Genomic DNA, 24677 nt, shown 5'->3' with positions numbered 1-24677 from the left:
GGGAAATGCTGCTTTGATATTTTGACAGATATGACACTGTCCATTGGTTTTAGATTGATATACTCCATCATATCAAAGAAATATCTTTCTAGAGTTTACAAAACTATACAGATCTAGATTTAAAATGTATTTTAATTTGTTTGCATTTTTAATATTATTCAATAAAAATGAATTTTTAATTTTGTTAAATTAAACATTTGCTTTATTGATATCCATCAATATAATCTTTTTTCATTGACATTGATTTGATAAAATTTTATTTCATATTATTAACCTTTCCATGTATTCTTGGATTAAATTCTACTCAATCAGGTGACATCACCGTTATTCATGTTGCTGTATCACAGGAAATATTTCACTTCTCATTTGCATCTGTGTTTCTGTGTGAAATGAGTCTATTGTTTTACGTTAATGCACTGTCTTTGTTACATTTTGGTAGCACGTTTATGTTAATTTCATAAAGCGAATTGTGACACTTTTCATTTTTTTTCTATAAACTGTAACAGCTTAAATACCGTAAGAATTATGTGTTCCTTGAAGGTTTGAAAAACTTGCCTATAAAACATTCGGGCCCAGCTCCTTTTATGGATGCAATTCTTTGAGACTGGTTTCTATTTCTTCCATGGATAGTGGTCTGTTCTGATCGTCAGATTTGATAATCTTTATTTTCGTATTTTCCATTTGCCTTCTCATTGAGGTTCAAGTTTTTAGCATAGACTTCTACATGAAATTCTGTAACTTTTTATTTCTTTGCTATCTTTCTTCTTTCTTTTTGTCTTTGCTCAGACTTTCTGAAAGCCTGTATATTTTATTAGTTTTTTTCAAAGAATCCAAGTCCTGAATTTATTAGTCATTTTAATCTCTTTCCCAGTACATTAATGTAATCTCTAGAGATTTCTCTCTTTTATTTTCTGGTTATATTTTGCTTTTCAATATTAGCTTACCCAGAATGTTTAGTTCATCTATTTTAATTCTTTCTTGTCTAAGATTAAAAACAATCCAAGCTGTACATTTGCTTCTACGCAAAGTTTAGTTTCTTCCCTTATGTTTGGGTAGGCAGTGCTGTCATCCAATCAGTCTGCCTTCCTGCTTTTAATATTTCCCTTGTCCTGTGTAGACAGGAAAGGATTCATTGTGTTGTTGTTGTTGTTGTTTGTTCATTTGAAAATCATTGGTAATTTTATCTCCCACTTTCTCAAATGTAATTTCTAATTTAATGCATTGTGGTCAGAGAGTGTGAGCTCAATAATTTTTAGCTTATGGGACTTATTGAGATTTTCTTAATGACTTAATATGTAATCAATAATTAATACACAATAGATTTAATCTTTAGTGTATATATTAACTAAACATTAATAGTGGTGTTTTCCAGATCTTCTTTATCCATTAATCTTTATTTATCTTACCATTATCTATTATATACTTTACTTGCCAAATATTGAGAGAAGTATGATAAAGTTTCCCTTTGCTACCAGGTTTCTTCCCACTATTTCTTACATTTTTAACAAGTTTTGCTTTATATATGTTTATGTTTTTGCTTCATGCATAAAAGATCAAATCAATAATATCTTCATTTAAAGATAGACTTTTTGTTCTATTTAATTATTTTTCCTGGATATGCACATTTAAAAAAATAATATTTCAATCTCTAATCTATTTTTATTCACATTTGTTCACCATTTTATATAGCAGCTTGTGTACTTCACATCAAATGGATTTCTCATAATCCATGTTTCTAATATGGGTATTTGTCCTTAATAAGGATTTAACTAATTTTCATTTATTGTGACAGATTATTTGGTGTGATTTTTGTCAACTTATCATATGCTTTCTGGCTCTATGCTTCCTTCGTTTTCACTATTTTCAGTCTTTCGTAAAACGGGTAACTTTTTTCTTTGCTTTTTAATTCTGTGGTGGTTTGGAAAGCTTGTCTCCTGTTTTTAATTTTACTAGACATAACTTTCTAGTTTTTCAAAAGCATGTTTAAACCTTCAGTTCTCTCTGTTACTCCACCACCCACCTTTGCCCATGGAAGGTGAGAAGTTTAGCACACTCTTCTTTTCCCTTCTCTTTAAAACCTCTATCTTTTAGTTAATAAAATAGTGCATTTTAAAACTAGATTATTTTCATTAAATTTTGTATTGCCTCTCCTGTCTTTTGTATCTCTCTATAATTTAGTTTACCAATTGTCCTCCTATTATATATTATGACTTACTCACTCCTGTGCTCTGGATTTTTCTTAATCTCCCAGATGGAACAGAGGTCGGCAAATCATGGCCTGCTTTTGTGAGTAAAGTTCTACCAGCTAGGTTGGCCATGCCCTGTAATTGACATATTGTCTGTGGTGCTTCCATGCGACAGTGGTGGACTTGGGTAGATGCTACAGAGACTGTATGGCCCACAAAGTTTAAAATATTTATTATTATATTAGAGAAGACTATAGCACCAAACAAAATTTTACCTATAAAGATATAAGCAAGGGCCATGTGCAGTGACTCACACCTGTAATCCCAGCAATTTGGGAGGCCGAGGTGGGCGGATCACTTGAGGCCAGGAGTTTGAGACAAGCCTAGCCAACAAGGTGAAACCCCGTCTCTATTAAAAGTACAAAAATTAGGCGTGGTGGCACACACCTGTAATTCTAGCTATTCAGGAGCCTGAGGCACAAGAATCACTTGAACTCAGGAGGCAGATGTTGCAGTGAACTGAGATTTCCACACTGCACTGCATCCTGGGCAACAGAGCAACACTTTGTCTCTGACAACAACAACAAAAAAGATATAAGCAAAACACATTTTCTCAGCCCTTCCAGGCCTAAACCTTAACACATGAAAGACAACTTATGTGACATAGAATTCAAGTGAGGGTTTTGTTTTTCTTTTTTGTTTGTTTGTTTTGCATTTCAAAATACTCTTGTTGCTTCTTTGTTTCTTGGCATTTAATGCTTCATAAATGACGTGAGGTCCCCTTGATTATTGTTTTTTTGTCAAGTACTCTCTTTGTGTATTTATTTTTCAACTAAGATGTTTATAAAATTTTTTTCTCTATTAAATTAAAAAGTATATATACTGGGGACTTCTGTTTGGGGTAACTTTTCATTGCTATTGCTTGAGATCCAGTGCACCTTTTGCTCTAAAGCCAAAGGCAGCCTCCTTTAATGATGATGTCCTCTGCTCTGATCTTCCTCTTGGAATTTCAATTCCTATACCTGCCCTGTTTTTTTTTTGTTTTTTGTTTTTTGTTTTTGCATTTCTCTCTCATTAGTCACTTTTTTACTATTTTTTTTTAAATTTCCATTTGAATTTCTCAAGTTCATGTTCCACTTTACTTATTTGGTTTTTGTAATACACAATCTCCATATTCCCTCCATCCCACTCCATATGGTGGGCACACTGTCCATCTTCGTCACCCCCTACACTTGTTTTGTGAGCCTAATAGCTGCTTAAGTCTTGTTTGAATACAATTTAGAGATCATCCTCCGCATCACCATTTTAAAGGTGTACACTTGCTCTGATTCCTGGGATCAATCTCCTCTATTGAATAGCTGAAGCTTTTCATAGGAACAGTACTTTTTCTCTTTTTCTTCAACCTCATAGAGGGTGACCTGGTATTAAAATTTGAAATGGGCTTTGTTTGAAACTGGGTAGGTTCCTCTTCAAATCTTTCAGATCCAGATTAAGGGGAGAAGGAAATGGATTGTCTTTGTTGTGATTCGAATCTGCCAGAGTACAGAACTCTTTATCCTTCAAGAGATGGAAGTAACATGTTTTGATTTTGCACAGCAAAGGCTGTTTCTCTTGTCTGTTTGGTGCAGGGTGTGTAGTGCCCTCTCCTCCGGGTGGCATGACTGACCGCCTGGGCACCTGTTGTAGAGAACCTCCTTTGTCTGCTGACCTTGCCTGGGAAAGTTCAGGGTCCTTCCCATCCTGCCTGGATGTAAGCATTGAGATTTACCTTTGACAAGCTGGCCCTGATCCTGTGTGTGTCGCAGTTTCTGCTCTCTCAAGCCCCTGGGGCTATTCCTGAGAAGCTACTGGAGCCATTCCGTCTTTCCCGTCTTTTGTTGATGTGAACCGAGGATTCATCAGTTTTTTATTCAGGCTGGTCCTAACCAAACTATAGTTTCAAGAAACTTCTCAGAGATTCTGGCTTATGAACTTTGGCTTTCCCTAAGGTTTTTAGCAGGGAGGTAAAATTTCACCTGTATGTGTATTCTTTTAGATAGATTGAGAATTTAGAAAGAGGACCTGAGAGTTCAGCTCCGTCTGGAATTCACTGCCTGTGTGCAGGCTCCTTTTCATGGGGATATCAGAGTGTGAAGCAGAAGTGGGTCACCCGCAGTGCGATTCTCTCCTTCAGTCCTTCAGAAGTTTGTGGTTCAAGACAAAGCAGACCCATCCTCCTATAGCCTTTGATTCTCAACAGTTAGAGGAAGACAACTGTGCAGTGAGACAGTAACAGAATCCCTACACAGTTCAGTAAGCTGAGCTTTCCCTTGTGGCTGTGATCACAAGAGGATTGTGTGAAACGTGTAGAGTTTAATGACTCTTTTCCTAGGAAAGAAGAAGTGAAACCATTCACACACCTGAGGATGTGTGTGATGTCAAGCGGTAGACTTGTCAGCTCAGGCTGCCATAATGGAATACCTGGGCAGGTATAGACTGGGCAGCTTAGGCAGCTGACATTGATTTCTCAGAGCTCTGGAGGCTGGAAGTCTGAGATCAGGGTTCTAGCATTGTCAGGCTCTTGGTGAGGGTTCTCCTGCTAGGTCACAGATGGTTGCCTTCTCCCTGCATTCTCACCTGATGAAGAGAGAGAGAGAGAGAGCTCTCTGGTACCTTCCTCTTTGTATAAGGGCATGAATCTCATTATGAGGGTTCACCCTCGTGACATCATCTAGTCCTAATCACCTCCCAAAGGCCCCACCTCCTAACACCATCACACTGGTGGTTAGGGTTTCAACATGTGGATTTGGGGAGGACACAAACTTTCCATCCATATTAGTGGTACTTGCATGGCACTTACTGTGTCTAATTTAAATCCCAGAAGTAGCCAGGAAGATGGAGGTTGCTATGCTCATGTAGAGATAAGGAAACTGAGGCACGCAAGGGATTAGTGACATCTTGCAGGAGCTGCCTGGCTGCCTTCCCTGTAACAGAGGAAAGGGGCCTGTCTACAGTTAAAAGCCCTGGAATCACACGTGGTCCTGCCCTTTGCTCTGCACTCTGGTGTCCTCATCTGTAGGAGAGGGGCTTGGGTTGAGCCAGTGGCTTTCAAACTTCTCAGCTTCAGAACTCTTTGTGCAAAATAAATCCCACTCAGAAATCCAAGACATAAAATGGATAAAGGCAGCACTGCGCTGGTGAAGCAGCCAGGGAACCCTGCGTCCTGAACACTCAGCCCTCCCTTCCTGCTGGCAGCGGCTGCTGAGGGGGATCTGGAGCACAGGTTGCTCTCTGTGCTAACAGTGTCTGATCCCAGACTCATTAAATGGTATCAGAAGAAGTTTGGGAAGAAGTGTGGTTTGTATTTTCAAAGGAGAAGGAGGCAAGGTTGACAAAGGGCACATGAGCTGTCATTATACTGGAATGCTGGCAGAGCAGTCGTCTTTGCCCAAAAAGGGTTTGAAAAGGGAACATTGCACATTCACTTTTTTTATGTGCTATCCACATTTAGCTTATTGCCAGGGCATTCGTTGCCAGTGAGAAACCTACTGTCTACAAGTGGACTGCGTAGTTTAGTTCCTCTTAATGAAAAAGGTTTTGGACATTTACCTGGAATTTTCATGTTGTTTTGTTTCATGAGTTTGCTGTCATTTGGAAATTACTAAAGAACAATCTCAGAAATGGGTTTTTAAAAAGAAACTTTAGGAGAGGAAAAAATCCCAGGATAATAAACTTTTCCTAAAGAGGTCACATTAGTAGTTCTCAATCGGGGGTGATGTTGACCTCCAGGAGGCACTTGGCAAGGTCTGGAGACGTTTTTCTTTTTGTTTGTTTTTGTTTTTGTTAGTGTTTTTCTTTTGTTTTGTTTCTTTTTTTTATTTATTATTATTATACTTTAAGTTTTAGGGTACATGTGCACAATGTGCAGGTTAGTTACATATGTATACATGTGCCATGCTGGTGCGCTGTACCCACTAACTCGTCATCTAGCATTAGGTATATCTCCCAATGCTATCCCTCCCTGTTCCCCCCACCCCACGACAGTCCCCAGAGTGTGATGTTCCCCTTCCTGTGTCCATGTGTTCTCAGTGTTCAATTCCCAGCTATGAGTGAGAATATGCAGTGTTTGGTTTTTTGTTCTTGCGATAGTTTCCTGAGAATGATGATTTCCAATTTCATCCATGTCCCTACAAAGGACATGAACTCATCATTTTTTATGACTGCATAGTATTCCATGGTGTATATGTGCCATATTTTCTTAATCCAGTCTATCATTGTTGGACATTTGGGTTGGTTCCAAGTCTTTGCTATTGTGAATAATTTTTGTTTCGTTTTTTGAGACGATGTCTCACTGTTACCCAGGCTGGAGTGCAATGGCGCGATCGCGGCTCACTGCAACCTCTGCCTCCTGGGTTCAAGTGATTGCCCTGCCTCAGCCTCTTAAGTGGGTGGGATTACAGGTGCCTGCCACCACGCCTGGCTAAGTTTTTGTATGTTTTTAGTAGAGACAGGGTTTCTCCATGTTGGCCAGGCTGGTCTCGAACTCCTGACCTCAAGTGATCCACCCACCTCGGCCTCCCAAAGTGCTAGGATTACAGGCATGAGCCACTGCGCCTGGCCCAAGATCTCTTTCTGTCATAGTGTCACAATTGGGGTGGGAGATGCTGCTGGCATTGTGTGGGTTAGACCAGGGGTGCTGCCGAATGTTCCACAACCACAGGACAGCCCCCACAACAGAGAATTAACCAGCCCAAAATGGCAATAGTGCCAAGATTAACAAACTCTGGTTTATGCTACAGGAATTCCTGAAATTTACAAAAATACATCAGAAACAGCACATTTAAAGCAGACATCAATTATTATTATTGTTCAGCTTTTGTTTACTGTGTTGCCAACATCTTAGCTAGTGATTCAAAACAAAACAAAACACATGAACCAAACAAACCCTGAGGTCTCCAGATGCCTTGAGGTCCCCAAAGAGGCAATATTTGTCTACTCACTTTGTTTTAATTGTAATTAAATTCACATAACGTAAAATTCACAATTTTAACCATCTTAAATTGTAAAATTCTGTAGCATTTAATACATTCGCAATGTTATCCAACTATCACCACTATCTAGTTCCAAAGCACTTCATGACCCCAGAATGAAATCTGGGTCCCATTAGCAATCACTCGGCATTCCCCACTCCCCAAGTGCCTGGCAGCCATCAATCTGTATGGATGTGCTGATTCCTGATACTGCATATGAATGGGATCATATATGTGACCTTTTGTGTATACCTCTTCATTTTGCATAATGTTATCAAGCTTCATCCATGTTATGGTATGTTTCAGGACTTCATTCCTTTTGTATGACTGAATACTATTTATTTGTATGAATGTACCATATTTTATTTATCTGTTGCTCCATTGAGGGTCATTTAAGTTATTTCTGCCTTGTGACCACTATGAATAGCATTGCTATGAACATCCATGTACAAGTTTTTGTTTGAGTACCAGTTTTCAGTTCTTTTAGGTATACCCCTAGGAGTTGAATTGCTCGGCCATATGGAACTTCTACGTTTAGCTAATTAAGGAACTGCCAAATTGTTTTTCACAGCAAACGCCCCAGTTTACATACCCACCAGCAATGTTTGAGGGCTCTAGTTTCTCTACATCCTCACCATTACTTGTCATTTTTTAAAATGATGTCCATCCTAGTGGGTGTGAAATAGTATCTCTAGTGATGTTGCTTTGCATTTCCCTAATGACTAATAATGCTGAGTGTCTTTTCATATGCATGTTTGGCTATTCATGTAACTTCTTTGGAGTTATATCTATTCACATCCTTTGCCCATTTTTTAATTGGGTTATTTGTCTTTTTATTGTTGAGTTGCAGGGGTTATTAATATATTCTGGATGCCAGACCCTGGTCAGATAATTGATCTGCAAATATTTTCATTCGTGGGTTGCCCTTTCACATTCTTGATAGTATCCTTTGGTGGACAGCTGTCTTTAATTTTTATGACATCCAATTTATCTACTTTTTCTTTTGTTGCATGTGTTCTTGGTGTCATATATCTAAGGAGTCATTGTCTAATTCAAGCTTGTCCAACCCATGGCCAGGACGGCTTTGAATGCAGCCCAATAAAAATTCATAAACTTTCTTAAAACATTATGATTTTTTCCAATTTTTTAAAGCTCATCAGCTATTGTTAGTTTTAGTGTATTTTATATGTGTCCCAAGACAACTCTTCTTCTTCCACTGTGGTCCAGGGAAGCCAAAAGATTGAACACCCCTGACAAAGTTGCAAAAATGTATCCTTATGTTTTCTCCTAAGAGTTATAGTTTCTCCTAAGAGTTATAGTTACACTTAGGTCCTTGATCCATTTTGAGTTAATTTTTATACATGATAGGAGGTAAGCTTCCAATTTCATTCTTTTGCTTGTAGAAATCCAATTGTCCAAGCATCATCTATTGAAGAAATTATTCTTTCTCCCACTGAGTGGTCTTGGCACCCTTGTCGAAATTCAACTGATCATAGATAAATGAGTTCATTTCTGGAGTCTAAATTCTATTCCATCAAATGGAATTGTATTCCACATTTCATATGTCCTTTATCCTTATGACAGTACCACACTGTTTTGATTACTGTAGCTTTGTAGTAAGTTCTGTAATTACTACCCACTATTTTTTACATCTCTAAAAGTTTAATAGAAACTTTCAAAAAGACTACCTCTTTTTAAAGAAAATGATGTAGAATAGGACAGGTACACAATGTCTGTATTCCTAAGTTCAAAAGCTCTGAAAATTGCAAGTTCTCGATTAATAATTTGGGGCCAAAATCTGACCTTATCAGAACTCATTTGGCAGTGAACTCAATCTGAACTCAGGTGAGTCCATTTGTAGATTTTATATTTTACACGTTGTGTTGCAGAAATATTTCTGTGTTTGATTGTAGGGTGCTGACCCATATCCCACTGGTAGTAGTATACAATATACAACATATGATCCAGATGACCTTTATAAAATCTGAAAAATCCTGATTTCCAAAACACATCTAATACCAAAGTTTTTGGAAAAGGAATGGTGGACCTGTATCACAATACTTGTTATCTCATGATGCTCAAAACTCCCATGATTTTTAAATCTTTGATTAGAAAAACACAAAGGGAAACAAATAATCATAACTTGCTTCATGCACTAACATTTATGGCACAACACGTGTTCGCCAATTTATTAAGCACTTTACCACTGTGTCTCTGCAGCCATTGTGGTCCGTTTGTGAATTCCTTCAGATATTTACACAATGTAAAATATTGCACTTGAATCAGTTCCTTTGTTTTAAACTTTGCCCTTCTGGATCATCCCTTAAGATGAAAATGCCCAGCTTTTCCATGAGGCAGTTGCACTGTGATTCTGGTACATCCAATCCTATATTCTTAGCCCATTACTCATTATTCATTTAATTCCATAGTTCCTCTATATGTTGATGAGGAGGTATTTTTATCCTCATTTTATCTGACAAAAAAAATTTTGTCTACATAGTTTTAACTGCCTCATAGAGCCATGTTGATCATATGGCAAGCAAGGTGTTCACCATGGCCATCAGTTCCAAGAGAAAATAGACAATCCTACACTCTCTACTCCAACCCTGATCAGCCCATGTGGTTTACTGGACAAAGGGAAGAAGTGGACAAATGAGAGGAATTGAAGCTGAAAAGAGCCAGGAGAAATAGAGGGATGAGCAGGAAACTAGGGGACAAAGGGAGTAAATTATTAACAAGGCGAGTCTAATGTTCACTGAGCTCTCAGATGTTGTCACATCCAGTTCTTATCCTGCACTTGCTGATGAATCAAGACATGTTCACAAAGCACTGAGCATCTGCTGCGGGCTCGGTTCTGAGCTAAGTCTTCTGGAGGTCAGGAAGAAGAAGAGCCACTTTCTTCAAGTCTAATCTGGGGAAAAGGATAGCACACTTGAAACAATAGTCATCAGGACAAGATAACACTCATTATAAATGGTCTAGGAATCCAGAGGGGAGATATGCCAGGCAGGTCTTAATTAGGGAAGTTTCCATAGAGGGAAGGAGTCTTTAACTGGGTCTTGAAAGGTAGAATTTGAAAAGCCAATAGCGGATTTGAAAAGCCAATAGAAGCTCCAAGACAGGAGTGAACACAGCACATTCATGAGCTTGTGAGATAATCCTTGAGTGGTGTGTGTGTGTGTGTGTGTGTGTGTGTGTGTGTGTGTGTGTAGAAAGAGAGAGAGGGAGAGAGAGAGTCATGGAAAACCAGACTTGGTGGGACAATATTATTATCCAGACTTGGTGGGACAATATTATTGACCCAGACCAGGGATGATATTATTCTGGGTGTCTTTTTGAAAACCAGACAAAGGTTTTGGCCATGAAATCAGAGGAAGTGGGGAGCCACTGGGGGTTTGAGGCAGGGAAGCAACATTGCAGAGCAGTGTTAGAATAAGATCCGGTCTGCAGTGATCGCAAGGTGTGTTGAAGTGAGAGATTCAGGCTGGCTGTTTAGGTTTGAATGAGGACCTGCTCAGGGGTGTGGCAGTAAAATACAGAAGGTCGGGGAGAGAACAGGGATATTTCAAGGCAGGTCAATGGGAATCAGAGACTGCGTCTGAGGAATCAGAGTGGAATTAATAAAAGAGGCTTTTGAGCTTTGCATGCAGTAGGGATTAGTTGTCCATAGACAGAGAGGCTGGGAGAGGAGTTGGTTCCAGAAAACCTTTAGTATTGATCATATTTTGCCTGAAATGATGGTGTTTAAGTGAAACTATCTGGAACTATGCTGTCCAATATGGTAGCCTCTAGCCACATGTAATAAATTAAATTGAAATTGAAATTAGATAAAATTAAAAATTCAGTTTTGCAGTCAGGCTAACTGCATTTCAAGTACTCCATAGCTCCATATGGCTAATGTCCACTGCATTCAACAGCCCAGGCAGAGAACATTTCCATCCTCTCAGAATGTTCTGTTGGACAGGGTTGACCTAGAGATCAGCAGAAATAATTGGCATTTGGTGAAGAAGAGCTCTTGAGATGAGAGTCATGGGAATAGAAAATAGCAAAGCTAAGGGAATGGGTCATCTCCTAAGGAGGGCTGAATGTTAGAATATGTTGGCATCAGTAGGCAGAAGAAAAAACAAGCAGAACTTGCACAACGTTTTGGAAAAGTGGGAGACTCACCACAGCATAAAATCCTGGCAACAAAAAGAAGAGAGAATTTTAGTGAAGAGAAAGTGGCGCCAATATCAAATGCAGCAGAGAAGTCAAGGGGAAAGAAAAGGAGAAAAAAAATAGCGTTTAGTAATCTGAGGTCATTTGTGACCTATCAAAGCTGATGCAGAGTTGGGAAGAGATGTCACTAAATAGGAATGCCACCAGCTTTCTCTTGTGCTAGGGTAGGAGTTTGGGATCTAGGAACAGTTTCAGCTGAATGTTAGGGACAGGAGGCTTGTCATGGAGGATGTGGAAATAAAAGTGGAGGTGAGGAACAGAGCCAGGACCTGAGAGGACAAAGCAAAGGGATGAAAGATTGTGCTGTCGCCATCAAGGGCTCCACCAAGGGTCCAATTTTGTTTTTGTTTTTTTCCAAGAAAAGAAAAATGAGTACAGAAGGAGGGGAATCTGCAGGCAGTGGTTGAGAGGATTTGAATGCAAAGGATATCTGGGAAAGCCCGATGCCTTCACAGTTAGAAGGGAGTAAGAAAGGAGGTGCAAGGGTGGGGTAGGCTTTGGTGGCTCAGACAGTGGGTGGTAAAGGAAACTGTAGGTGGCCTTGAGACTGTGGTCCTCTGAGATTGGAACGGTCACTTGAAGCCAACCTGTCAGCGTGATCTGCCTGCTACTTCCCACTTCCCTTCCACTGGATTCTTTTTGTGATTGCTTTCCATTTGGATTTCAGTTTATGCTTTATGTGCTTTATTTCATTGAATCCATGTGAACATTTGGGGGCAGTTGGGCATTTTGATTCTCATTTCCAACCTGAGGAAACTGTGGTAGAGGGTGGTTAAGTAACTGGCCCAGGATCATGCAGCAAGTAAGTGACAGAGTAGAAATTGAACCTGTTCCCTCTGGTGCCCTTAATGTCCTCTGTAGTCTTCACCCAGTGCACTCATGCAACCAGCCTATTCCTGCTATCATGACTGGCTTGCTACAACTGTGATCATGCCCACATAAGGCTGTGTTTGCTCTCTATAGCCATAATTCTCCTGTCATTACTGAGAGGTGGAAAAATGTTTGAGGGGAAATAACACAAATAACACTTCCTGGTGTCAACCCAGCCTCCATAGGGGACAAAAATGCTTAGCAACTCTTTCAAAGTATCCAAGACAAAACTTGACCTTTAAGCGGTTTCTCCATTTAGAGTTAAATTTGTCTTTAGCAAATATGGTTTGAATAAATCAAGACTTCCTGTTTTAGCTATTTAATGGGGAAGGTAATAATTCCAATCTGATTTTAAATTTTTCTTTTGCCAAATTCCACAGGGCAAGAAAAAAAAAAAAAGAACGCTAAAGTTCAGGATAAAAAAGAAACTTCCCAAGAAGTGCATTGGTACAAACCACTGCTGTGGTCATCATAAATGTCTTTTACTTTTACTTTCCAAACCAAAGTCTAGGGTTTCCATGGTAACTGCTTTGGCCCCAGCTGGTTTGCATCATGTTGTTTGTATAGAAGCCAGTGGAGCAGGGCTCGACTGTGTCACAAAGTTCAGGTGTCAATATGGATCTCCCGGGACAAATACCAGAAAGAAAAATATTGCATGCAACACCTTCTCCTACCCAACCGCTACTTTCCCAAACCCCAGCACTCTGCTACTGTGCTGACCAAATGCCCAGGGATTTCCAGTCTCCCATCCTCTCAAAGTCAAACCTCCAGCTGCATCCAGTTGTGACTTCTGTATATGTCTAACTGTGTCCATTGGAAGGGAATTAAAGCAGCAGGCTTTTAATTTACAAATGTTGCATCCATTCGAATGTTCTTGAGCAATAGTGTTTCATAAGGGTTACAACATAGATTCAACAACCCCAGCCAAGTGCAAACTTGAGAAATTGCAGATTGCCTTCCTGTGATTCACCCAGAATTCCAGATGGAAATTATTTCTCAAGGTCAGTGCAAAGCTCCGTACAAAGGTGTCTCCTATAGAGAACATGTGGTGTGAGGCTGGACCGAGGGTCAAGGCTTCCATTCCTGTTTGCTCCTTGACCTTGGCAGAGTTAGCCTGCCTCCGAGAGCTTCTCTCTAGCCATAGGGGAATCACATAGTTTGTGCCTTTCCTCCCCACACACCCTTCCCACCATCCCACCCCAAGACCTGCTCCTATTTTCTAGGCTTGGTGAGGGCACTAAGGAAGAAATATGCCTCCTTCCGCCAAATTACTTCCATTTCTTAAAATAAATCCCAGCTTTTCTCTTCTGGGAAGCCACCCCAGAGTGGACTAAGATCTCAAAATATCTTTTATTTACTTTATTCAAGAAACATTGAGAGTCTACCAGGCGCCAGACAGGAACAGACCCTGACTTCAAGGTGGAGACTAGCATGTAATTAAGCCCAATAAAGGACCAAAATCATTGTACAGGTACAGTCAGAGGAGGCTGGTTTTCCAGTTTGAAGTTTAGGAAGTCAAAAAACTTCTTCAGGCCGGGCATGGTGGCTCACGCCTGTAATCCCAGCACTTTGGGGGGCCGAGGCAGGTGGATCACAAGGTCAGGAGATCGAGACCATCCTGGCTAACACAGTGAAACCCCGTCTCTACTAAAGACACAAAAAATGAGCTGGGCGTTGTGGCAGGAGCCTGTAGTCCCAGCTACTTAGGAGGCTGAGGCAGGAGAATCACTTGAACCCGGGAGGCGGAGGTTGCAGTGAGCCAAGATTGCACCACTGCACTCCAGCCTGGGCGTAGATCGAGGCTCCATCTCAAAAAAAAAAAAAAAAAAAATTCTTCACAGAGAAGTGAAGCACCACTTAACTAGCACCCTTATTACTTTCTAATAATTAGCATGCATAGTCCATCATTATATCATATGCTTTAAATACACAAATTTGCTTGCAAGTCTATCTTGATATCTATTGAAATAAAAATCTCTAATGTAAAGACCTGGTTTTCATTATACTGGGTTTAATATCTGACTTGTCCAGGATAGAGCTAGTCACATGGTGAGGGTCAGGTGGCCTTAACTCTGGTTCCAGAGCTGAGGGGACACATTAGAGGACACACTGGTGGTTTACCTGAGGGGGTGGCCCTATGCAGACATTAAGGAGGGAGGCCTTTCCTCTGTGTCCAGGTAAGGAATGGATCCACATCTAAGGCCAAAGCTACAGAATAGGGACTTGCACACAGTACCTTTATCTTCTACCACTTTTTTGATAGTAATGGCATCTACATTTTTACCATTTCAAATTTTTGAATGACCCTGGTTCTCCCTTGCTTTGTGCCATTGGGAAGCTTCCTTCTCTCCAGGGCTCAGTTCTTCACCAGCTGAATGATGAAAGTGGCTTAGGTGATCATCTTGTAAGCTCTAAATTGTATTCCATAGGCCTAACCTGAATCAGTCTTATCAGCTTGGAATCCTCAGGGCCTAAGCACAGTAGTAAGTCCTGAATAAATATTTGTTCAATTAAATTGAAGAGACTCAAAGTCAAGTCCTGCATTATTGGAGAGCATAGAGATTCCAGTTATTGTCCTCTATTTCAGATGAGCAGCGGGGTGAAGGGTCTGGATTTTCTACTCATCACTAAGCCTCGGAAGGTGGTGTCAGTGACTGGGATCTGCTTGTAAGCTGCTCCAACTTGGCTTCTTCAGATATAGATTCATACAGAGCCTAGACCTGTGCCTTGCTTTGTTAAATATCTGAATGTAAAAAGGAAAAATACATCAATTGTCCAAAGTACTTACATGTGGTCTTATAAACTAAAGAAAGTAACCACATAGATTTCTGGTGCCTGAAAAAAAGAAAACATGTTGTAGAACATCTGTATCATTAAACGCCTGTCCTGGTTTGTACTCAACTACTTGGCTTAACTTTGCACAGTCCTGAGAAATACAAGTCTTGTGATTGGTATAGACAGCCAACTGGAGCAACTCAAGCCGGAAAAACAACACAATTGTCCTGGTTGTACATTGCACTGCATACAATCACTAAAAGACAATTCTAATTCTGTCTTCCGTATTACTTTGGTAGAGACTAAAGTAATGTATTGAGATAGGAATCAAAGGCAGTAAAAGTGGGAACATTCTGAGCATACATGGGAGGTACTGAGCTTCTACTCATTGAGCCTTCTCCAAACATGTCAGCTCACTCAGGTGTGTGTCAGAATAGCCCTTGCAAAATTCTCTCATAAAGCAAAGCTTTTTTCCTTGTGCTATAACACATCCCCACTGTGGGCACCGGTTAGGCCTCAGGCTATCTAGCCCAATGGCTACTGTACACTTTTTTTTTTTTTTTGAGACAGAGTCTCTCTCTGTCACCCAGGCTGGAGTGCAATGGTGCCATCTTGGCTCACTGCAACTTCCACCTCCCAGGCTCAAGCGATTCTTGTGCCTCAGCCTCCCAAGTAGCTAGGATTATAGGCATGCACCACCATACCTGGCTAATTTTTGTGTTTTTAATAGAGATGGGGTTTCACTGTGTTGGCTGGGCTGGTCTCAAACTCCTGGCCTCAAGTGATCTGCCCTCCTCAGCCTCCCAAAGTGCTGGGATTACCGGTGTGAGTTGCCATGCCCAGCCTGGCTATTGTAGACTTTAATAGGACTCTTAATTTGACTTTAATGTGACTACTTCTCTTCCTATCTGTGCTTCTTCATATAGACTCTGCACCGCACTTGGAGATATTTTATCCCACATAATCAATGTCAGACAAAAATAAATTTAAAAAGCTTTTTTAAAAAGCCTGAAGAGGTCCAGGCACATGCCTGGTAGAGGAAGGTGAATTCTATATGCTTTTTTTTTTTCTATTGACAAGGACAAATATCTCTCAGCACTTATATACTAGCCATTGTATATCTACCTTTGTTTAGTAATCACAGTTCTATTAGGCAGAGTGAGGTGAGGGCCCATTACCCAGTTAGGAAGTGGCAAAGCTGAGATTCAAACCAAAACCCTTGGATTCTGGAACCAAGGGCTTTCCCCTGTACTATGCTGCCTTCCTGGGCTGGTCGTTTGCCCTTCTCTCAGCTCTTTGGAACTGCATTCACTGGCACACAGTCTGAAGGGACCTAAGCACTCCCCTTCACTTGCCACTCAGCCCAAATACCACTGCTGGCCCCTCCTGAAGAGCACAGAGAAGAGAATCTCCTTCTGAACAATGAGCAGAGATTTTGTTTAAAATTTCTCACATCTCTTTGTAGTTTATTTTTGTAAACTTGGCCTATAAGACGCTACTTATTTGCTCTTATATGTGTTACCTGCAGTTTTAAGAAAGAACTACCAGACCAACAATATCACTTTGGTTTTGGTTTATGTAGCCTAAATAACTCGCTACACGTCTCTTCTTAAAGTGTTTAATGAGAGTTTTTAGTGAAATTTGCTGTTTTGTGGAAATATTCACACTAGGTGATGGATTATTTGAAATTTTCTTCCTAATGCAGCGCTGCTGTGTAAGAACATCATCATTGTTCAGTTTGGTGGGTTTTCTCTTCACGGTGTAGATAACAGTAGAAGGGACTTTTGCAGGATTAGCATTTACAATGCTTTGTCAGTCAGGGTCATGGGATTAGACTCACTGAGTCAGTCATCAGTAGCTCCATTAACTGAGACATAAACAGATTCATTAAAGAGTGGAATGAGGTCCAAAGTTGATGTCTTTGCTGAGGGTCACACTGAGCTACCAGCTGCATCATGAGCATCTTTAGAAGTCAGCACCTTGGCAAAAGACATGAAGACCAAAATCAAGAACTACAAGACTGCCCCTTTTGACAGACGCTTCCCCAACCAGACTAGGAACTGCTGGCAGAACTTCCTGGACTTCCACCTCTGTGAGAAGGCAACAACCGCTGAAGGGTGTGATGTCTCTATGTGTGAATGATACCAGTGTGTGTACAAGTTCTTCTGCCCTGCTCCTGGGTTTCAGTCTAGGATGACAGCTGGGCTAAAGGCACATTTCCTGGAAAGATCTGAACTGGCTGCATCTTACCCCTCCTATGTCCTTCATCCTTCTCCCAGGCAAAGGGAAACCTGGGTACATGGTGATCCTCACCCTGGGGCCCTGAATCATGACTTAACTATGAATAAAAATGCTTTGGAAAAGCAGGGGGAAAGAAGTGGAAATAACAAAAAATAATGAATCAGGGAGGGCATTCCAGGGTGCATTCCAGCTTTGTCAGTAACCCCTTTGACCATGTCACTGAATATCTCTATGAGGAATTGCATTTCCTACCTGACATAGTTTGAGTATATCCCCACCCAAATCTCACCTTGAATTGTAGTTCCCATAATTCCCATGTGTCGTGGGAGGGACAAGTGGAAGGTAATTGAATCGTGGGGGCAGTTTCCCCCATGCTATTCTCGTGATAGTAAGTTCTCACAAGATCTGATGGTTTTATAAGGGGCTTCTCCCTTCGCTTGGCCCTCATTCTTCTCTCTCCTGCTGCGCTGTGAAGAAGGATGTGTTTGCTTCCCCTTTCAGCATAACTGTAAGTTTCCTGAGGCCTCCCCAGCTCTACGGAACTATGAGTCAATTAAACCTCTTTCCTTTATAAATTACCCAGTCTTGGGTATGTCCTTCTAGCAGTTTGAGAACAGACTAATACACTATGTGAGAAATTGGGTTTGTAAAAACTGCCCCAACTACCTCAAAATAGTGTTGTTGGAGAGGAAAAGAATTTGCACACTACAAAAAGTTAAGTGTTATAAAAATGTAAGATTGTCTTGTTACTTAGATCACAAGGCATAAAGAATTGCTAGCTAAAGTAGTAGCCAGTTCCCTTGTGATGAGTTATATAATGGTGCAGTCAGTTGATAAGGGTCAGGCCACCAAAGAAAATAAGTGTTTAAGGACATATACGGCAACATGACAGAGTAACTTGATTTCTATGAAATGTAGTAATAAAAATAGGGGCTTGTATTTGCTTGACATTGGCTTTCTTTTTAATTTCATTGTTTATGATTTATTTTTCATACACTTAAAAAACATCATGGTGCACAATGGATTTGAGAAAAACTGGCCCTTTACACGATGATTTGAGAGCTTGGTATATGTGGCATCAAAAATCCCAGGAAACAAGTGAAGAATTAAAATAGAAGTCTGTATGTTTTACCTATCCAGCAAAAGGTGGAAGTGGAAAAAGTCCAGAGTTCCAACTGGATGGGTCAGTTCTCTGCCAGATGTTGGTGTCCTGTAGACCCAGCCAGAGGACATGCTTTGATACTCTGCCCTTGGAGATGCACTCAGTATTGTCAGAGGAATACAGGTCCAAAGTGAAGAACTATCTGACTGCAGGGGCTGATGGCTCTTCTGGGCTGGTGGGATCTACGTGGAGATTGCTGTGCTCTACAAGGCTAAATAACACTCATGAGAATCTATGGTCAACTGAGGAAAGAGAGAATGTTAATTTCCATGTCTGGAAACATCAGAAATGGCTGAATAATCAGCAGATGTCCTGATTTGTGTTTTGGTCTTCCTATCTGTAGATGAATGCAACTTAAAAACACATCCTAATATCAAATAGGAAAAGCTCCCCCTTTCCACCCATCTCATTTTAGTTTTTCACCTATAATTATTCTTCCAGGTAAAATTTAGAATTATTTTGTCTAGTTCTAAGTAAACTCTTTGTTGAAATGCTGTTAATTTATAAATCAGAATGGATAAAACTGATATCTTCACAACCTAAAGACTTCGATCCCAGAATGTATTACTTCTTTCAAGTCAGTTCATCTTTGTAGCTTTCTCTATTGTTTATTGTATACATTGCTTATTAAATGTATCCCTTGGTATTTTATAGTTTTGTTGCTACTGTGAGTAGAATATTTACATTCTAATTACAATTAATGCTGGCATATAAGAAAGCTATAGATTTTAATATATTTAACCTTTACCCAGCTACCTTCCTGCTTTCTTATTACATACTACTAATAACTTTTTCCAGCTAATAACTTTTGAGTTATCCAGACATACAAAAATTATCAATGTTTACTAACTCTGCTCCTCCTCCTTCTCAATACATATAACTCACCTTTTCCTTGGCTCATTGCATTAACTATTATTTCCAGAACAATGCTAAATACATGAAGATATCCTATTGAAATATAAAAGGCTTTCTTTTCATGTCAACAGAAATAAGTTATTTTGAAGCCATATGCCAGCTTCCTCTTCCTCTCCATAGTTTCTTAAACACTTGCTGATAGAAACAAAATCTCATTCAGAGAAGTATGAAAGACAGTCTTGAGGAAAATATGCAAGCCGAATGAATTGTCTCTGCTTTGCCTTAGCAATATGGTGCTAGGAGAAGGTGGGATTTAGGGACTGATTGTATGTCTACTTATCAGGTTCCTACATGTTTTACAGCAGCTTAATTGCTCTCAAGAGGAGTGACTGAGTCATTGCTGAGCTTCTTAGTTTGTGCTGGGTCAGAGCAGTTGCCTGAATTTTCCAGCACCCTATGCAAAGTTCTGCCATGGAGATAGCTGGGTGTCCTTCTGAGGTGTTTACTTTGAATTTTATTTTTGGTTCCAGTTTGAACCCATATTCAAGGTACCCAACCCTGACAAGCAAAAGGGAGACAAAATTTATCTCTTGGTTCTATTCCCAACCCATTCAAAAATAGAAGGCAGTCAGAGTTCTCAGGAGCTAAGACGATGGGGGGCTGGGTTGCATGGCTTCCATGTGGCGAGGTCAAGGGAAATCATCCGGCCAGTGTCACTGCTGTAACTGCCCAGGCTGAGAGTCTTGTCTGTTTCCCACTGGAATGGGGTCCAGTGAGGCTTCAGACTCACCAGTGTTAGAAATAAATTTTATACTCTGAGAATCAGAGACCCTCTTTTCTTCTGCCTACTCTCATCCTTTATCGATTTCCACACACACGTATATCTATAACTTTACTAATATACATACATGTGATCGTGCACCCGTGCAATGGGCGCTGCAGTGTGCCTTCTGTGTCCCTTCCCTATGGTGCTGGGAGGGCCAATGCCTGGCAGCTCCCAACTGTGTCTCACTCCTGGTGGCTGCCCACTGCAAATGAGAGTCTCCTTCTTCCTGCAGGCAGCCAACATCCAATGACTGGGCAGCTGTCCAGAGCAATGCTGCCTTCCCCGGGATGGGCTGAGGCTTTTGTCCTGACTGCATGGCAGCCCAGCTTCTCCTTCCACCCCATCCTGCTTGCCTCCCTCCCCCACAGGTGTGACAAGGAGGGCACATCCTCCTGCAGGCAAACCTCCGTCTCAGAGTCTACTTCCCAGAGCCTGTTTCTCAGTCTACTTCCCTGCCCTAGACAATCTGCTTGAACTGTTAAAGTGTCATCATTTTTCTCATTTTCTTTTCTTTTTTGTTTGTTGGGAGCGACTAACCCCTCTTCATCTCTTGTGCCATACACCATCTTCAGCTTCCTTAATTTCTCCCAAGAAAACACATGTCCACAACCTGATTTGTGTCTGCCAGTGTTTTCATTAAGTTTTCTCTGAACGGTGTCTGTAGTCTATTGTATTCCTCCTTTCCTCTATCAAGGATACTTATCTAGTTTCCAGACTTTTGCCTCCGCAAAGAGTGCACATTGTTTACAGAGGTCCCTTTATACCTAGATGCTTTTACTTCTATGGGAGAGATTCCTAAGAGGGGGATTTCTGGTTTAAAGGGAATGCGTGCTTGCAATTTTAACGATGTTGCCAGGTCACTTTCTCAGGCGTCTGGGACAGGGTTTCACCAGCAAGGCAGGAGAGCAGCCTGCTGCTTGTTCTCACCATGAGCGTCCCACCTGGAGATCCCACCTGAAGATCAAAGGGCTAATCCACTCCAAAGACTTCGTTCCCAACTTCAACATTTCTCGCTGCAAACCGAATCTCCTCCCTTCCCTTGTGAAAGGAAGGGGAGATTGGGAGGGGGAAGAGAAGGCTGGTGGGCCAGAGGAGCGTCCCTGGATTCTCAGATGGCTCCTTCCTCTAAATGGATGAGAAATGTGGGGTGAGACCAGCAGGCCTCTGTCCCCACTCCAGCCTACAAACCACACGGCCAGGCCCAGGTGTCTCTTAGGGAGAGGTGGGAGCCAGCCTGGAGCACAGGACTCCACAGGGCAGGGAGCCCACAGCGCAGGGGCGGTGGCTGCTGACAGCCCCAGAGACCATGACAAGGAGCACTAGACAGCAAAGAAGATGCAAGGATGGAAAGGAAGCTGCATGCAGCGTGTTCCCCCCAAGGCCCAAAAGGGTCCTTCATTCCCTGCGAGTGAAACTATGTTCTTCTTGTCCTGGAAAGAAAACAAGAAGACAATTGGCATGTGGCTGATCTACCCAGGCTGGAAAGAAGAAAGATTGAAGTGACTATTCTCAAATTTAGGAAAATCTATTTAGGATATTTGGACACAGATGTACCTCCTCCAGTGTCTAGGACATTGGGTGTGACCTGACACTTCCGTGACCTCTACACCCTTTCCAAACTGGCCATGATCAGTGGTGGGGTGTGGGCAGGGGGTTGGTACTGGGCAATCCCAGCAGAGCTCAGTATCAGTCTGCCCACTTGAGCACTGGCCATGGCATAGCAGGCTCTCTCTCTTTCTCTCTCTCCTTCTCTCTCTCTCTCTGCCTCGTCATCATTGGCATCTCTTCTCCCCTTACTTGTGTGTGAAATTAAGCTGACCCTATATGCTGTTTTTGTGACACAGAATCATCCATAATAAGCATTTCATAACTCAATCTGTTTCTGCCAATTGTTTTAAATCTCTCTTATTAGCTATGTTAGGCATGCTATTATCTTAATCTTCTTAACATCCATATGAGAGTTTGACAAGTCAGCAGGGGATCTTGCCTTTGCTGCCAAGGATATGTGATTAGGTTACAGCTCCAGAGACTGTGATGGCAGAGCCCCAACCAGGCCAATCTCCTAAGTATATTTCTTTAACTATAAAAGACCTCAGTCCCCCAAAGTCCAGGAAGTAACAGTGCATCCATGAGAACAAAGACACTTCTACAGACCAGTATCTGGGGCTTTCATCCAGTCATTTAACTTTGTGTATATAAGATAAAAAGAAAAAAGGTGAGAAAGACTCCCTCCCGCCCGCAATGACCCTAACCTCATCTGGGAGGCTACTGCAACAACCCAGCTTTGTTCTGGCAGGCTACAGAAACAATTTTAATATTCCAAAAGAGTTAACACAAGCCCAGAGGGAGTAGTTGACACTCTGGTAGAACTTGAATCATGCTTTCCCCTAGGATCATCTCAGGGTAAGAAAATAATTTGAGTTTTGGCAGCTGTGATGACTGTGGGTAGAACAGCTTATTTCTTGGTTAATTCCTTAAATAAACCTTCATCTTTGCAAATTCTTGTTACAGCCACAACTGATGAGAAGGTTCAACTATGCTGTCTCTCTAGCCAAACCGTCTTTGGTTTAACCCTCTGTTAACTCTTCCCCTTTCTTTGTTAGGAGAATATTGTCTGGCTTCAGGGTGTCATCTTTTCATGGCCATTTATTTCCCTGTGGTCCAGTCATGTGTTATCCTAGAACGAACAAGGGAGTCTTGATTAGTACATTTGGGATTCTGGAGATGGCAGAAGAAAACAAGGCTCCAAGCCAGCTTTCAGACTGCAAGATCTTAGGGAGCATCATAATACCACAGCCAAGTTCCTCCCCTTTCTTGGAAATAAGGGTTTCAAGAGCTGCCTTCAAGCTTTGAGGGCAGGTGCAGAAGAAATAAACCATGAAGCATCTCTTCCAATACCAGTCCTGTGTGTCTACCCATCCTTCGGCTTTCTCTGCAGGGGACCTGCCTGGAAGCAATCTGAGAAGCAGGGTCAGCTCTGGGTGGGAGGTGATACATTAACAGTTTTGGGCTAGGCTGGGTTATTGACAGTTCTGACACAGATCTCAGAATGGAGTCCATTAGAGGCCCAGGACAGTGCTCACTCTAATATACACTTAGTGCTGTCTTCAAACATCCGACATTCCTTCTCCCTGAAATACCACAATCCTTCCCCACCCACCCCCACCCCCCAGACACACACCCTTGACATTTAGGAGTGTGGAGCCACTATTTCCCAAATGTGTTGACCTCTACTTGGCTTGTTTGTACCTTAGCTAAGGATTTTCATGTTCTTCTGCAAAAACTTACCAGGGGCAGCGTGGGGCTGTCTATAAGTGATGTGTTATGGAATTGCTGATTTTTTTTTCCAGGTTTCAATTTTCTACTGGGTTGTCCTTCTGAATTCCATTGCAGCCTTTCTGCCTATATTTATAATAAACTCCAAATACAGGGAGTGCTCCTTGTTTCCAGATGTGGAATCCAGGATTATGTAACTTGGAGCTGTATTTCTTTGAGAGGTGATTAAGCATGTTATCATATTATCATATTACCGACTATTCACTTGTTATTTTTCCTTTCGTCATTCATTCAATCATCCTTCTTTTTCCTAACTATATTTTTTCCTAAGGGTAAAATTTATAATCTAATTTTAAGTACCAAGGAAAATTCTATTAGAATGACATATTTATTAAAAATATGAGATGGATTGGGATCTTTGCCATATCTTTGCTTTAAGGAGCACACATAGCTTATTGTTTCCTCACTTTTGAGAAAGTTCCCCAGGCACCATCTTGTTTTTTGATTGTTCCTTTCCCAGGGCAGTTCTGTTTTATACACGCCACCAGTAGCCACTTGAATTTGCCTTGCTTTGTAGCCACTTTTTGTCAGCCTATATTTCTCTCTCTCTTTATATGGTCTTGTGTCAAGCAGGATTTATCTAGACCCTGGCTTTGGCATTAGGTGAGTCTCCCGAGCATTGTGAGTGGAGGTTCAGTGCCTGCTCTGGTGACAACTGGAAGGCACCACTGCTCCTAGTGTGTTTCCCAGCTCCCAGCAGTCATGTATGTCATGTGGCTCTGATGTACTGCCATGTGACGCTTTTACAAAATTATCACACACCAGCCACTATACACTTGATGGGCACCATCTCATGCATAAAACCTTATAAAGCAGGTACTGTGCTTTTTAAAATTATAAAGAAGAAACAAAAGAATCCTAAGATTAAGCGATTTGGCTCACAGGGCAGGTATTTGGGAAAGGCAGGGTTGGAATGAGGTCCTGGGCTCTTACCCAGAATTCCTGCATGTGGTTATCACGTGTCCCTAGCAAATAGCCATAGGCATGATGATTGTTTTCAGTGTTCAGGTCAATTGAATACTAGATCACTGACCACAAAGGCTTGAAATAATTGAAATATTCACCCTGTGACTTCATTTAATCAAGGAGAGTTCGACAGAGAATGTGATCCTCTAAAATCCAGAAAATGTTGTCATATTATGCGAATGCCAGTATCACAGAAAAATAAAATTAACAGAAACAAAATCAGTCCTCGGCAT

General features: G+C 41.2%; 1 protein-coding gene and 1 pseudogene across 13 annotated transcripts in view; both read left to right on the top strand.

Annotated features, from left to right (window-relative positions):
* The window catches only part of ADRA1A (adrenoceptor alpha 1A), a 119230-nt gene that overhangs the window by 14108 nt on the left and 80445 nt on the right, over positions 1-24677 (top strand). The window contains exon 3 of one of the 13 annotated variants that reach the window (XM_011544412.4): positions 14871-15184. The exons of the other annotated variants lie outside the window; for them this stretch is intronic. Coding sequence (XP_011542714.1) covers positions 14871-14914 — 44 coding nt within the window. The 3' untranslated portion in view covers positions 14915-15184. Of the gene's footprint in view, positions 1-14870; positions 15185-24677 lie in introns of those variants that run through there. 13 annotated transcript variants of the gene reach the window in all.
* Positions 17024-17289, top strand: COX6B1P4 (cytochrome c oxidase subunit 6B1 pseudogene 4; annotated as a pseudogene).

The sequence above is a fragment of the Homo sapiens genome, chromosome 8 (genome assembly GCF_000001405.40).
Source record: "Homo sapiens chromosome 8, GRCh38.p14 Primary Assembly".
Classification (NCBI taxonomy): Eukaryota; Metazoa; Chordata; class Mammalia; order Primates; family Hominidae; genus Homo; species Homo sapiens.
Note: the sequence above shows the minus strand (reverse complement) of the source record. Positions and strands in the feature narration are given on the sequence as shown.